The 16,122-nt window shown below is 42.9% G+C and overlaps 1 annotated feature.

Annotated features, from left to right (window-relative positions):
* Nucleotides 6,386–7,037: an enhancer, noted in NCBI's record as "OCT4-NANOG-H3K4me1 hESC enhancer chr5:10157229-10157880 (GRCh37/hg19 assembly coordinates)". NCBI's record gives its function as "activates a minimal SCP1, AML or CMV promoter by ChIP-STARR-seq in primed H9 embryonic stem cells {active_cell/tissue: H9 hESC(primed)}" and the evidence as "EXISTENCE:reporter gene assay evidence [ECO:0000049][PMID:30033119]".

The raw sequence follows: 16,122 nt of genomic DNA, 5'->3' as shown, positions 1-16,122 counted from the left end.
CAGGCTTAATACCTGGGTGATAAAATAATCTGTACAACAAACCCCCATGACACAAGTTTACCTATGTAACAAACCTGCACATGTACACCTGAATTTAAAATAAAAGTTAAATTAAAAAAAAGATCATGTATCAGGCTAGGTGGCTCATACCTTTAATCCCAGCACTTTGAGAGGCCAGTGGGCAGATTGCTTGAGCCCAGGAGTTTGAGACCAGCCTGAGCAATACGGTAAGACATTGTCTCTACAAAAGAAGAAAAAAAATTAGCCAAGCATGGTTGTATGCTCCTGTGGTCCCACCTACATGGGAGGCTGAGATGGAAGGATGGCTTGAGCTCAGGTGGTTGAGAAGCAGTGAGCTGTGATTATGCCACTGCACTCCACCCTGGGTGACAGATTGAGACCCTGTCTTAAGAACAACAAAAAAGATTATGCATCAATCATAGTGTAGCAAGGCAATATAAAAAGATCTAAATCACACATGCAACACATCTATGCATAGTATATTTGTAGAAAAAGATGAGATTCAGGAATAATGGAAAGGCATGAGTTTGGGCTGGAGAGTGACTAGATGCAGATGGCTTCATTGGATGGAGCAGCTCCCATGTAGCTGGGACCATGGGTGCACACTGCCATGCTGGACTATTTTTTAAAAATTATTTTGTAGAGATGGGGTCTTGCTATGTTGTGCAAGCTGGTCTCAAACTCCTGGGCTCAAGTGATCCTCCCATCTCAGCCTTCCAAAGTGCTGGGATTACAGGCATGAGTGACTGTGCCCCACCTGATGCACAATCTTTTTTTTTTTTTTTTTTTTTTTGAGACAGAATCTCGCTCTGTCACCAGGCTGGAGTGTAGTAGTGCGATCTTGGCTCACTGCAACCTCTGACTCCCGGGTTCAGGCGATTCTCTGGCCTCAGCCTCCTGAGTAGCTAGGATTACAGGCATGCGCCACCACACCCAGCTAATTTTTGTATTTTTAGTAGAGACAGGGTTTCACCATGTTGGCCAGGATGGTCTCTATCTCCTGACCTCGTGACCTGCCCGCCTTGGCCTCCCGAAGTGCTGGGATTACAGGTGTGAGCCACCGCGCCTGGACGATGCAAAATCTCATTTAGGGCCACAGTAGTTGCTGTAACAAGTAAATCTCTAAATTTCAGCACCTAATACATAGACATTTGTTGTCATGCGATAGCCCCATCTGGCTGCTCCTAGTTGCTGGGTGGCTTTTGTTCCTAGGCTCCTTTTCCATGTGTACCTTGCAGCATCCAGTTGGCGTTTTTTGACTCCCAAATATTAGCCTTCTATTTTCCTTTAGCTTTTTTTCGCCCCCCCACCAGTAAAACTGCATTTCCTGACACGATCTGCTTTTTGCATTCCTCCCTTCTCACTGCTCACTTTGACAGTTGCTACTGTAGGTGTGGTGACAGATGTCTGGCTTCAACAAGATCCCATGGAGAATGGACGCTTCTTGGCAGTTTCGAGTTACTGCTGGGCTATTAACAGCTCCTTAAGTGGATTCACCAAGACTCAGCTCTCAAGTCACCCCTGGCCTTTGCAGGCTTGTCTGCCAGAGCTAGTGATGTTTCTTGTGCTTCCTAAAGCTCTCTGAACCTTGTTCCACATTTAGCTGCTGGTCGTGAAGATCCTAGAGTGGTTAGGAAAAGAAAAACATTCTACCTTGTTCTAGGATCAAGACTTTGAAAGGAAATGTTTACAGCTTATCATCATTGATTCTTTCTTAGTGAGCCCCTTCGGGGCCCCAGATGGGAGACCTCAAATTTAAAAGCCATGAAGGAGCAATGAACAAGTACTTGAGAGGTTAAAGGTAACTATCAAGCAGTGAGGGATTCCCAGTGAACTAGCGACATCCCAGAATGGAATCATTGAAATGTATAATTCTTCCTGGGTATTCATGACGTTTGCTGAATGAGGAGGCTGCTACTGAGCTGTCTATAGCACTGGGGGGTTGCTGGGACAAACACTGGCCCTGGCACATCTAACTCACTCTCCCCACTGGCTGTGGAAAGGCAGAAGTCAGGGTGCCAGGGCCACACTTTTCTTAAAATTGACAATTGGAATATGGGGATGAGTGCAGGGGTTTTGACTCCACCTGGCTTAGTCTTTGAGTGTACCCTAAGACTAATGAGAGGCGGGCTGCCTTCTACCTAGGGAAAGCATGGCCAGCCGACGTGCCTTGCTGGGGCTTTGGTGTGGATTAGGCCTAATGGGAAGACTTACCTCCCTGGGGCTTCCAAAAGTTGAACCTCTGGGTGGCTGATGAGATGTGAACAAAAGACATTTGATTACATGGATGTGTGTGGGAAGCAATGCTTAGCCTCTTAGCTTTGTTTCTAGTTGTTCTATGGAAAGGCATTTTAAATCACGGTAATTATTGAATTTCCTTGATTCTAAACTAGCACACTGATTGTAAAATGCATTATCAATTTAATAAGAGTATTTTTGGCAGGGAAACAAAGAAATACTACCATATATAACAAATACAACTTGACTGCAAAACATAATACAAATGTTAGAAATGATAAAATGTGGTGAAATGGTAAAATGTTTTAGCTCAAGGAAATATGTTAGAAAAGAAGATTTTCTGCTCTAGACTAGAGCGAGGCCACCTCCTTGGTTAGCTGGCGAAGCTTTTTTTTTTTTTTTTTTGCAGGTTAGTTATCCCTTTTTTGGCAGTGGTTTTGGGTCTGCAATTACAGGAGCGGGCAGAAGCCAGCAGCTCCAGCAGCAAGGTTCATGCGGGCGATTTGTGGCTGTAATTTCTCACTGTTGTCTGTTCTGCCGCCCACCTCACTAGCACTGAAACCCATTGGTGAGCTACAGGACCCCTAGGGAGTGAATTTGCAGGAAGATAAATTCCCCTGTTCCTGAGTACATTTTAATGCTATTGTGGAAACTGAATAGAATACAGATCACTCCCAAATTGAATTCTGCATACCTGTGCTGCTAAGTAGAAAATTGCGTATCAAATAATGGTTCCTAGACTCGACTTGGCTCTGTCTAGACACAAAACTTGCTTACAGTTTTTAATGTTTTCTGTCATGCAGGCACATAAAACCCCTTTGCCCTCATTATCTCAGGATCTCAGACATTTTATTTTTGGGGACATTTTCACTGCCAACAGCTAACTCCTGTCTTTATCCTACCCTCAGTGTTCTTGAAGATGATGTTACGGCAGTCAGATGCTCTGTTATGGCAGCCGGCACCCCAAGTTGGAACTGTGTAGACATGGGCACTGGGTCTTATTGTTGTAATAAGTTTTTTGTTTTAGTACCAGCACACAGTATGTGCTCAGTAAATGTATGTTAAATACATGAGTACAGGGAGAACTGGCTGACATAAGAACCTCTAAAGCATCTTTCTTATGCAGTCTTATTCCTGTGAGGAAGCCCACTGCCCCTCTCCTTATGTGCAAGACATGTAGTTAATATGTTAATGAGTGTCTGATTGGTGTTTTAAGTATTATTTTCTTTGTGACATTGTTACTGGAAAGGGGTCCTAATCCAGACCCCGAGAGAGGGTTCTTGGATCTTGCTCAAGAAAGAATTCGTGGTGAGTCCATAAAGTGAAAGGAGGTTTTTTAGGAAAGTAGAGGAATGAAAGAATGGCTACTCCATACTCTATAGACTACTCCCTCAGGGCTGCTGGTTGGCCATTTTTATGGTTGTTTCTTGATAATATGCTAAACAAGGGAGGATTATTCATGAGTTTACAGAGATAGGGGTGGGTAGTTCCTGGAACTGAGGGTTCCTCCCCTTTTTAGACCAATATGGGGTAACTTCCTAATGATGCCATGGCATCTGTAAACTGTCATGGCGCTGGTGGGAGTGTCTTTTAGCATGCTAATGCATTGTAACTAGCATGTAATGAGCAGTGAGGATGACCAGAGGTCACTTTTGTCACCATCTTGGTTTTGGTGGTATTTGGCTGACTTCTTTACTGCAACCTGTTTTATCAGCAAGGTCTTCATGACCTGTATCTTGTGCTGACTTCCTATCTCATCCTGTGACTATGAATGCCTTAACCTCCTGGGAATGCAGTCCAGTAGATCTCAGCCTTGTCTTACCCAGCCAGTATTCAAGATGGAGTCGCTTTGGTTCGAACACCTCTGACAACATCATTCCTCCTTAGGCCTTTTGTTTCTGTTTCCACTGAATGCAGGTAAGTGCTATGGGCCAGAGGAACCTGGAGAAGGTGGGTGTGCCATTGTAGCAGTGGTGGCTCAGTTGAGCCTCCAGGCAGCTGCATAATGCAACAAAGCAAGAAGGGAGCTGCCAATCACCAAGTGAAAATACATGGACGTTAGTGTTCAGTCCGGAATCAGTGCCAAGATCTTGGCAGAATGGGTGGCTCCAGGCATGGGATTATTTGGGGTCATCAGGAAGACCAGAGATGATTCTCTCAGAAATCTAACAGGACATCAGTTTTCACCATTAGTGCTTCGCTCCTTTGAGCCTGAAACTTTTATTTTCAAGAGTCTTAAGTAAAATAAAACTCCAGAAAGCTAACTTTAAAATACCCAATTCTTTAGGACAGAGAACATGTGTAGGAGGAGATAAATGAATGTCAAAAAAATTAAGAACCAAAATCCAACTTTTGTTCTGAGATGGAGTTTTTATTTTTATTTTGCTCTAAGTTCTGGGATACATGTGCAGAATGTGCAGGTGTGTTACATAGGTATACATGTGCCGTGGTGCTTTGCTGCACCTATCAACCCGTCATCTAGGTTTTAAGCCCTGCATGCATTAGGTATTTTTCCTAATGCTCTCCCTCCCCTTCCCCCAACCCCTCAACAGGCCCGGGTGTGTTATGTTCCCCTCCCTATATCCATGTGTTCTGTTCTGAGATGGATTTGCTAAGATGAATCTTTGCTTGTGTTCTAAGACCTGGTGAAATCTCCCCTGGGCAATGGCCTGGGGTGGGCCCTGAGCTGTTTGATTGGCAGGTGACAGAGCCCTGAATAAAAGGCTTCATTCTTTGATTTTCTTTTTGGATCTCATAGTTTAGTGAGGCAATTCTCACTGCTTCCTCTAGGGGTGATTCTCCCTGGGGGGTGCTATATTATGGAATTTGGAGGGGCAGTTTTGATTGTGACAAAGACTTGGGGGCTTTGCTTGCATTTAGTAGGCATGGCCTGGGAACACTCTATATCCTGCATTCATGGGGCAGTATTGCCCATTGAATAATTTTTTAAGTGTACTGTGGGACTTTCATGTGGGTAAACCTGTATTCCAATAGTTGTGATGTACCCTAAATTTTCCAGGAAAGAAACCATTGTGTAAATCCTTTTGCTTGGAACTTCACTGGAGTTAGAAAGTCACCTGTGGTGGTTAACTTACCAGTGGAGCCCAGCCCTGTCCGTCTGCCTCTGTGGCTGTCATGTTCTTGAAGATTCTAAGGACAGCAGCAAGCACCTGACTCCTGCATTACAACCTCCAGTGCTGGCTTTTCTGAGCATTTCTGTGCTAAATGTGTATAATGTACATTTCTATGCACATTATACTATAAATTTCTTTTTACGTTTTTATTTCAGTTGGGGTATTGTGTTATTTCTAAAATCATATTTGTGTTAGAATTTATGTATTTATATTGCTATTGTTTGAAAGTATTCCCCAAAGTTTATGTGTTGTCAACCCCCAGTGCAACAGTTTTGGGAGGTAGGGTGTCATAAGAGTTGATTAAGTCACAAGGACTGCTTTCGTGACTGGATTAATGTTGTTATTCCAGGAGTGGGTTAGTTATCATAAGAGTGACTTCGTTACAAAACCTTTGGCCCCCTCTTGATCTTTTGCTCTCAATACTTCTTGCCCTTTCACCTCTGCCATGGGATGATGCTGCACAAAAGTCCTCATCAGATGCCATGCTCTTGGACTCCTGGCCTGCAGAACCACCAGCCAAATAAATTTCTGTTCATTATAAATTACCCAGTCTGTATTTTTCTGTTATAGCCACAAAAAATGAGCCAAGAAAGAAGATTGGCACTGAGAAGTAGGTCTGTTGCTATAATAAATACCTGAAAATGTGGAAGCACCTTTGGAACTGGGTAATGGCTAGATGCTGGGAAAATGTGGAGGAGCAGGCAAGCAACAGCCTATATTGCTGTGAACAGACCATTAAGCATGATTCTGGAGAGACTTGTAGAGAAAGTCTGAAGCTTCTTAGAGATTACTTAAGTGGTCCTAATCAAAATACTGGTAGAAATATGAACATTTCTGATATGGTAAAGGCTAATCTGATGAGATCTCAGATGGAAATGAGAAACAAAGTAATGGAAACTGGAGTAAAGGCCATCTTTGTTATAAATTCACAAAGAACTATTATAAATTCTTGGCTGAATCATGTCCACAACTGAGGGCTTTATGGGAGGTAGAATTTAAGAGCAAGGAACTTGGATATCTGGTGGAAGAAATTTCTAAGCAAAATACTGGAGGAACTGCATAGCTACTTTTAACCACATATAGTAAGATGTGAATGAAGAGAAATGATTTAAAGATGGCATTTATAATTAAAAGGGAAGCAGAACAAAATATATGGGAAATGAGCAGCCTTGGTCATGTAAAGAGTGAAAAGGCATGTTTAGGAGAGTAAACTAAGAGTGTGGCCAAGAGACTGTTTGCTAAAGAGATTAGCATGGATAGAAGGGAGCCAGGTGCCATTCATCAAGACAATGGGGAAAAGACATCAAAGGCATTTGATGGGCTCAGCAGGTTGCCCCTCCCATCACAGGCCCAGAACAGGGCCTTCCAGAGAAGGTTTCCAGGAAGGTTGCCGTGGGACTTCAACATTCACTGCTCAGAGATGCTTGGGACTCTGCTCCCTGCATTCAGGCACAGCACTCCTCAGCTGTCCCAGCCGTGGCTCAGATGGGTCCGGGTATGGCTTGTGCCACCACTCCAGAGGGCTCAAGCAGTAAGTCTTGATGACATCTATGTGGTGTTGACTCTGCAGATGAACAGAATGCAAAAACTGTGGGGTCTGTACATTTCAAAGGATGTATTTGACAGCTCAAGGGCCCAGGCTGAAACTTTTCCCAGGGGTGGAGACAACACAGACAGCCCCTACTAGGGCAATGCTGAGCCGAAATGTGGGGTCCAAGCTGCCACATTGCCTAGTTGACCTATGGGAGTAAGGCCATCTCAGAGATCACAGAACTGTGGGGCCATCCACATGCAACTTCAGTTTGGGAAAGCTGGAAGCATGAGACTCCAACCCATGAAAGTGGCCGGGTGGGCTGAGCCCAGCAAAATCATAGGGGCAGGGCTGCCTGTGGCCTTACAGGTCCAGCCCCTGTCCCAGTGTGCCCAGAATGTGGGACATGGAGTCAGGGAGGATTATTATTAGCTTTAAGACTTGATGTTTTCCCTGTTGAGTCTTGGATTTACCTGGGACCAATCACGTCTTTCTTCTTGCCTATTTCTCCCTTTTGGAATGGGAATGTCTGTCCTATGCCTGTCTCACCACTGTATTTTGGAAGCACACAGTTTATTAATTTCACAGGCTCGCAGATTGCAGAGGGATTTTCCTGGGGATGAATTGTGCCTTGAGTCTTACCCATATCTGATTCAGATAAGACTGAACTTTGGACTTTTGAGTTGGTGCTGGAATGAGTTAAGACTTTTGGGGCTATTGGAATGAAATGCATGTATTTTGCATTATGAAAAGGACATGAATTTTGGAAGCCAGGGGCAGAATGCTATGGTTTTAATGTGTCTCCCAAAATTGATGTGTTGGAAATCCCCAATGCAAATGTGTTTAGAGGCTGGAGCATAATAGGAGGTGATTAGGTCACGAGGGCTCTGTGAGAAATAAATTTCTTTTCTTTACTAATTACCTATGGTATTTTGTTATAGTAACATAAAACAGGTTAATATCTATATCTATCTGTAGCTATCTATATTTAAAACTTCTTAACCATTTTTAAGCATACAGTTCAGTAGTGTCAATCATATTCACATTATTGTGAAAGAGACCTCCAGGTCTTTTCATCTTGCATATCTTTATACTCATTGCAAACTTTATACTCATTAAACAACTCCCTGTTACCCTTCCCATCCAACCTTTGGCCACCACCACTCTACTTTCTGTTTCTATGAATTTGACTCCTTGAGATACTGCCTATAAGAGGAATGATATAGAATTAGTTTTTTTGTGTGTGACTGACTTATTTCGCTTAGGACACTATCCTTAAGGTTTATTCATATTGTAGCATGTAACAGAATTTTTTAAAGACTAAATAATATTGCATGCTATGCATATACCACATTCTTTTTATCCATTCATTCATCAATGGACATGTGGGTTGCTTCTACCTCTTGGCTATTGTGAATAGTGCTGCTATTGACGTGGCTGTGCAAACATCTGTTCAAGACCCTGCTTTGAATTCTTTTGGATATACACCCAGAAGTGGGATGTGTGTCACATGGGAATTCTGTTTTTAATTTTTTAAGGACTACCTTACTGTTTTCCAGGGAGGTTTGCACCATTTTACATTCTCACCAACAGTGTACAAGGGTTCCAATTTCTCGACATCCTCACCAACACTTGTTATTTCCTGTATCTTTAATAGTAGCCATCCTAATGAGTATTGTCTTAGATTATCTTTTATATGAATTACATTTCAAGACAGTAAAGGGGTATGTACAAAATCATGTTATAAAAAGAGGGCATTGAGTTTGAAGAGTTGAGAATGACTGTTCCAGTGTCTTTCTTCGTAATCTTAACAACAGTCAGGTCAACCTTTAAAAACTTGTTAGAAAACAACCTTCCCCTTCTTCCTCTCTATCAATGCATTTACACCTGTAGCTGACACTTGGAGCCAGCCTTGCCCAGCATGGCCTCCATGGGTATCCTTTGTTCTGTGTGGAATTAGGTATTTTTCCTTCTGCACTAGTAATTAGTGATCTCTTTCTATTAAGTAGGAAAACAGAATATTGTTTTGGCATTAAGCCTATGAACTTTATATACAGTGAGCATTCATGAATAATATTCCATTACTGAGCAAGAGTGGGTTTCCTGGTGGAGACATGTGTCACAGACACGACATAATAAACCTGGACTCCTTGAAACCATGGCTGGGGTTCCAGGGCTTTGACCTGTTGTGGACTTACTGGCCATATACATGATGACAACCCAACACTGACATGGTGCTTTCTAAAAGTGTCTAAAGTTAGTGTTGTCACTTGATGTGTTAAAATGTCGAGCATTCAGTTTGGAACATTGTGGGTGGGAGGTGGAGGGACTAGATTTTCTGTTCAGTAGACAGAGGCAGAAGGAAGCCTGGTTGGCCTATTGACCCCAGGACCTCAATCTCGGGGTGCATTCAGGGAAAGCTCTTCTGCATCAACCCTGGGCTCAGCTAGAATTTTTCCCCTCCACACCTTTGGATGTCTTCTCTGTGCTCCAAAGTGGAACCCCATTACAAGAAGCTGACCTAGGATGCATTTTATAGCTGATGTTTCCTTAATAACCTTCAGTGTAGTTTCCCCTAAAGAAAAGACATTTTTCTTTAATGTGTCAAGGATCAAAAACATATATAAAAGAAAATTATTACAGTATTTCACTTGAGATTATGCAGATGACAAGTTTTTTTAAAAAAAGTATTATTTATGACTATTCAATTAAACAGCCACCAAACAATAGTGAACCCACCACTATTTCCAAATACGATATCTTGGTGTTTGTAGCTCACCATATGTTTGAAGTATGACATAATCCTTATGGAACACATTCAATTTGTTGCTTCCCAACTTCAATAGAAGCAGTTAAGCCTGTCTCCTTGTAGACAAATTGTTAATGAAAAGGTAGCTGAACAATCATTTTCTTGTAATATGCAATTCTGTCTCCTTAAATACAGGAGCCTGACAGAGCCATTCAGCAGTTAGTACTTTCTCTATACAACTGAACTCTCTCTGACCCTATGAAACTAACAGTTGGAGCAAAAAGAGAGAAAGGGGGAAAAGTCTGCTAAAAATACTCACCTGTAATATATATAATCCTGAAAATTGAATGGAAGGTATATCTTCCTTTATTGTTTTCAGATAATGTATGAATAATTGCCTTCTGCCACATGCATTTTTATTGATTTTAAAGTATTTCATGATGTTGGTGCAATGTTTGGGAAATGGCAGGACTGTCTGAAGGATTCAGGATTTAGAGTCCTGAGCTTTCCCCTCTTTTAGCAATGAGTCAATGCTGCTGATGGCAGCCCAGGCATACAGTGGCGCCCTTCTTCCTACAGAGACACAAAGAAGAAAACAAAAAGATTGGCCACCCGACCAAAGCAAGCTCATGATTTTAATTTAATTTAATAACTTTATATTTTACAATTTCCCCAAGAGTTTTAAAAATAGGCTTGAGCAAAGACAGCCGGATTTTCCACTTTAAAATTCAGACAAAATAAACAATGTCTTTAGGACATAGTGTAGAATAATAATAGCTGGTATTTATTAAGTGCTTGTGCCAGTGGTACCCAGGTTATCTGGGTACTTCATCAGTGAAGAATGGATGGGACATGATGATTACTCCCATTTGATAGATGAAGAACATGAATCAGAGAGGGTAATCAATTTGCCCAAGGTCACCCAGCAATTTTGTGGTAGAGCCGGCATTTATGCTGAAGAAGACAAACTCAACTAGGTTTTAAAGTTAGGTAAGAGTCTTGATCTCATTTACTACTTGTTCAAAAATGTTTGTTCTTTTTTTTTTTTTTTTTTTTTTTTGAGACGGTGTCTTGCTCTGTCGCTAAGCTGGAGTGCAGTGGTGTGATCTCGGCTCACTGCAATCTCCGCCTCCCGGGTTCAAGCCATTCTCCTGCCTCAGCACCCCCAGTAGCTGGGATTGCAGGCGTGCGTCACCACACCCAGCTATTTTTTTTTTTTTTTTGTATTTTTAGTAGAAACAGGGTTTCACCACGTTGGCCAGGATGGTCTCGATCTCCTGACCTCATGATCCGCCCACCTCGGCTTCCCAAAGTGCTGGGATTACAGGCGTGAGCCACTGCGCCCGATCAAAAATGTTTGTTCTTTAAAATAATAAGGTATTTTATTTTAAGATGTTGCTTACTTTATTCTGATCCACATTTTTCCACAGTACAAATATAAACTCTTCGTGTATTGATAAACAAACACTGTGAAGTGCAGACCATGTGTGAGTGCCTTGGGAAGCAGTTATGTGTGGTGGAATCTTCCAGCACGCAGACTCCAGGCTTGCACCTCTCTCGATTGCTGTATGGCAAGTGTCTTTATTCCCCAAGCCTCTGTGTTTTCATCTGTCAAGTGGGTATGATGATGGTACGGACTTCCCAGGGTTGGGGACTGGATGCACAAATAGATATGCATACTCTAGCATGGTACCTGCACAGTGAAGGTACATAGTTAATGTGAACCAATAACACAAGTTCACAGAAATGAGAACTCAAAGCTTACAGAGTGGGAGAAGCACCAACCACCTGTGGTAAATGGGGCATGTGCACTGATGTGGGAGGTGGTGAGTCTGGGAAGTGGCCCGGTCTCAGCCACGTGGAAGCATCTGAGCTTTATTCTGCTGGCTTTACGGAGCACTGAAGACTCTTGAAGATGAATGTGCTAGTACAGGATTTAGGGAGTGATTCAGTGGAAAGAAAACAGAGATCTAGTCAGGGGTGGAACAAAGAGTAAGGAGATAGGAAGACAAATATGTCCAGGGCAAAGGGTAGGTTGTGGGTGACCTGGGGGTTCTGGGTGCATTAGATCCTCAGCCTGTCAGGTGCAGTGGCTCATGCCTGTAATCACAGCACTTTGGGAGGCTGAATTGGGAGGATGGCTTGAAGCCAGGGGTTCAAGACCAGCCTGGGCAACATGGCAAAACCCTATCTCTGCAAAAAAAAAAAAAAAAAAAAAAAAAAAAAAAAAATTAGCCAGGTGTGGTAGTGCATGTCTATAGTTCCTACTCAGGAGGCTGAGGCAGGAGGAACACTTAAGCTCAGGAGGAGGTCAAGGTTGCAGTGAGCTATGATCACACTTTTGCATTACAGACTAGGTGACAGTGAGACCCTGACTAAAAAACAAACAAACAAACAAACAAAAAACCCCACCAAAACCCCCTATTTCTACCAGCCTGTTTCTACCACATGTAGAGACCAGGTTGCTCATGGGAACCGGCTCCTTGCTCCCCAGGTAACCTTTTCATAGTTTTCCTCCCCAATTTCCCCATAGAGGAAGAATGCAGTGGCTACACTAAACAGGGTATTTAGGCCATTTGACGATTGTATTTCTGTTGTGAACTGCCAAGTCCAGGTTTAGTTTTAGACATCATTGCTTTGTTAGCATGAGTCATACTCTACAGATCAAGCTTCTGGGGTGCCCAGTCAGAGGCCAGCATCAGACCATGGAGAATTCACCAAGGTAAATGCCACCTATGGTAGCTTTCCTGGTGCCCGTGCTGGCCTTCCCTGGTGATTCCAAGACAGCCCATTCAGTATAAACCACATCTACATAAAATTAATTGGAACATGGTTTTTTTTTTTTGAAAAATGATTATTAGTTTATAATCATCTGAGTACTTTCTTTATTACTAAATATTATTTAAAATTAAAACTGAAATCATATAGATTCACAAAGAGATTTCCTTGGTATCTTTATTATATATGAAGAAAGAATTAAATACTTGATGTCAATATTTTGCTGAAAAATGCAACTTTTCTTCCTGATTATACATCCAGAACACCTTTTCTTTAAACTACTCTGGGAACCAGTGTAGTTGTCCCTGTTCCTCTGACTTTTCTCCTGAATTCCAGACTCATTTCCATTTGCCCTTTAGGTGCCCATCTTCTTAAATATTTTATTTTAATTATTTTTATGTTTTTTTTTTTTTGAGACAGGGTCTTACTCTGTTTCCCAGGCTGGAATTGAGGGTACAATCACAGCCCACTCCAGCCTCAACCTCCTGGGCTCAAGTGATCCTCCCATCTCAGCCTCTAGAGTAGCTAGAACTAGAAGGGCACACCACCACCCCCGACCATTAAAAAAAAAATGTTTAGTAGAGACAAGGTTTTGCCATGTTGTCCAGGCTGGCCTCAAACTCCTGGGCTCAAGTGATCCTCCCACCTTGGCCTCCCAAAGTGTTGGGATTAAGGTGTGAGCCACTGTGCCTGGCCTTGGTGCCTATCTTGTTGGTGCATCTTCAGTTGAGCTCATCCCATCCCACCCCATCTGATAAGGCAAATCTCAGGTCCTCCGCCTCCACTCTGACAGGTGCCAGCACCTCCTCTCTTCACCTGTGACCTCGTTCTTCTCCCTTTTCTGGGAAGGCCCAGTTCCGCTGAGGCCCATACATAACCTGCGACGCTTTCTTCTGGGCCAGCCCTTTGCCAACAGCACGAGATGTTTTTTGGCTTAGCCTGTTGGCACTCCATGCTGACTTGAACTCAGGCTTCCCCTTCCAGGGTCTCAGCTGCGGCTTCCTTGGACACGACCACTACCCGATTGTTGAGCCCTCCTCTCCTCTTTCCCTGGGACCCTCACAAATTCTACACCCACAGTCTCTTCTGCCTCGGTGTGGCCTGTGGGCTTCTCCCTATGGATATGCAAACGTAACGTCCAAAGTCAAATTAATTCTGATCTCCTAAACAGTTTTTCCTTTTATATTCCTGAGTTTTTAAAGACTGGCATCAGCTTCTGTCTGTTTCCTTGGGGTGGAAATTTTGTGCCGTTATTTCACCTTCTTCTTGCTGTTTATATCCATCTGGACACCAAGCCCGGGGTATAGCCCCTGCTTACAGACCACTTGAAGCCAGCTGCTTACCTCTTCTCCTGCAGTTGCTTCATTCAGAACCGGGGTTTTGTGCCTAAGTGCAGGGAGAGACTTTCGGCTGCTCTCCCGGCCTCCACTACCCACCTTTCTACCCCGTCACAGTCGTCCTCCACACTGCTATCATCTCTTCCGCTTACTCGAAGCAACAACAACAGCAGCAATAACAACCAGCCAGACCAGTAAAACCTCTTGGTGGCCCCCAGGTGCCTGTAGTATGAACTCTTAAGCTTAGTAGTAAAGGACACTCAGCGTCCGGCCTTAACTTTCCAGCCCCGCCCCTGTTTTACCATCTGGCCACACCACCCGCTTATCACGCCCCTGTTTCCTGAGGACATTGTGCATTGGTGCATTTGCTTTGTTTTAAAATGTACCTGTGTTCGTTTATATCTGCTGGAAATGCCATTTCTTGCCCCCCATCCCATGGTTTGCTTGTTGAACTCATGTTCACGAAGGCTCAGTTCAGGTGGGCGGCAGCAGGTGTTCCCCGTTCTGTGTTTTCATGGTGACTGGTACGCATCAATATTCACATTGTACTTACTTGTTTTCGCGTCGGCCTAAGCACATTCTGAGCTGCTGGAGGGTAGGACCTGTGCACGACTCTACCTGGGCATGGCCCAGAGCAGTCGTTTGTAAACGTGTGAGCAAGGAGAAGGGGAAGGAAGGAAAGAACAGTGTCAAAGCTTGAGAAATGGAATGGGTGCCAGTATACCATGGGTGGGAACATTAAGAAACTTAAAGGATAACCACAATCAATGAGCTGCAGTAGCTCAGAACTTTGTGATCGACTTTTATGAGCCATAGAACTTGGCCCTGTTGCCAACAGTTTTTAGAAATACCACAGCCCTAATGCTTAAGCACATTGCTGTAATTCGACTCTCCATAAAGTGATCTTTAAATTGTGTTTTGAGGCTGGGAAGTGCACATCAGTGACACGCTTAACTGTATAGCTGCAGCCAAACTGGAATCTAGACCTATTTGTGTGCAAATACGATGCTTCAAGTTCATTACTGTTATTAGGAAATGGAAATACAGCCAGAGCAGAAATAACAGTCTATTTCCCTCTGCCTGTGCTGTGTTTTCATCAATGAGGCTTCTGAAGGACTATATGCATTTACTAACCCATTAGAATGAGCGATTTTATATCCTAATGTAAAATTAAAGGAATTTAAGGATCTGCCTAGGAGATACACTTGTTTAAACCTATATTAATGTTTCTATTGGTTATGTCGACTCTAACTAGTAACACGTTATTGGAAAGGGAAATGCCCCGGCTGTGTGTGTATTTTCTGAATCTCAATGCTATATTTTTCTGACAAGGTGTGGAGCTGAATTTCTTCTCTTCTATCCAAAATATGAGACGCCGGGTCAATTATAACTATTTTTAAATGTGAAACATATGATCAATTCTTATTTGTTTTATTAACTCATTTCCCTCCCCCCCTTTCCTCCTGATGTATATACTTGAATTCTTCCAACTTTCCTATTTGAGCCCATTCATTTCTTTTCCTAATCTCCTTCAAGCAGTATTTATTGGGGTACTCACCTGGGCTTTCCCTAGGTTGTGTGGGATCCCAGGAAAATATTCTTATATGAGGTCTCTGTCTGTAGTAATTATTTGATTAATAAATGTGTGACAAGACGTATGGGCCCATGTGGGGCATAGTGATTTATCAATAAGGATTTAGAATAATAAGTAGCATAGAGGTACTTATGTATTTACATGTTTTCCAATTGAGGCATGTGAAAGTTGTTCTCCTCCCCAGGTGCCATCTCTTTCTGTTCAGATCTAGAAACCATAGCTTCCTAGTATTTATTGCCAAAGACAACATTCCAAAACAATTCCACATGTCACCTGGTTGTTACGTTAAGGTTGTCACTCATAACCTCTTTGGCTCTTTGCAAGCTGTTTGCATTGAAATGGCATAGCTCATCTTGCCTCTGAATGTCCCCAGTCCATTTACTTAAGGCTGGTGACACCGTTACTCATGACACTGTCCCATCCCTTGTGCTGGTCGGGGACCCTGGCTTCCAGACACTCTTCGAGATGATGACTGCGTTCTGTCAATGATGACCACAAATGCAAGTCTTCCCCAGAGAAAGCAGTAAAATGTGAGTGAGAATTCATTTCTGACCATGTTAAATGTACAGATTTTATAGCATAAAGGTAGAGCAGCACATCTCCCAGCCACGTTTTCTTTTAGACACTGATTGCTGCATTCCTAGGATGTGATCTTGCTGAATGTTAATCATGAGGGGCCCAGGGTGTGGTGGGAGTGGGCTGTGGGTGCAAGAAATATCCTCCCCTCATCCTGTGGAGCT

The sequence above is a fragment of the Homo sapiens genome, chromosome 5, assembly GCF_000001405.40.
Source record: "Homo sapiens chromosome 5, GRCh38.p14 Primary Assembly".
Lineage (NCBI taxonomy): Eukaryota > Metazoa > Chordata > Mammalia > Primates > Hominidae > Homo > Homo sapiens.
Note: the sequence above shows the minus strand (reverse complement) of the source record. Positions and strands in the feature narration are given on the sequence as shown.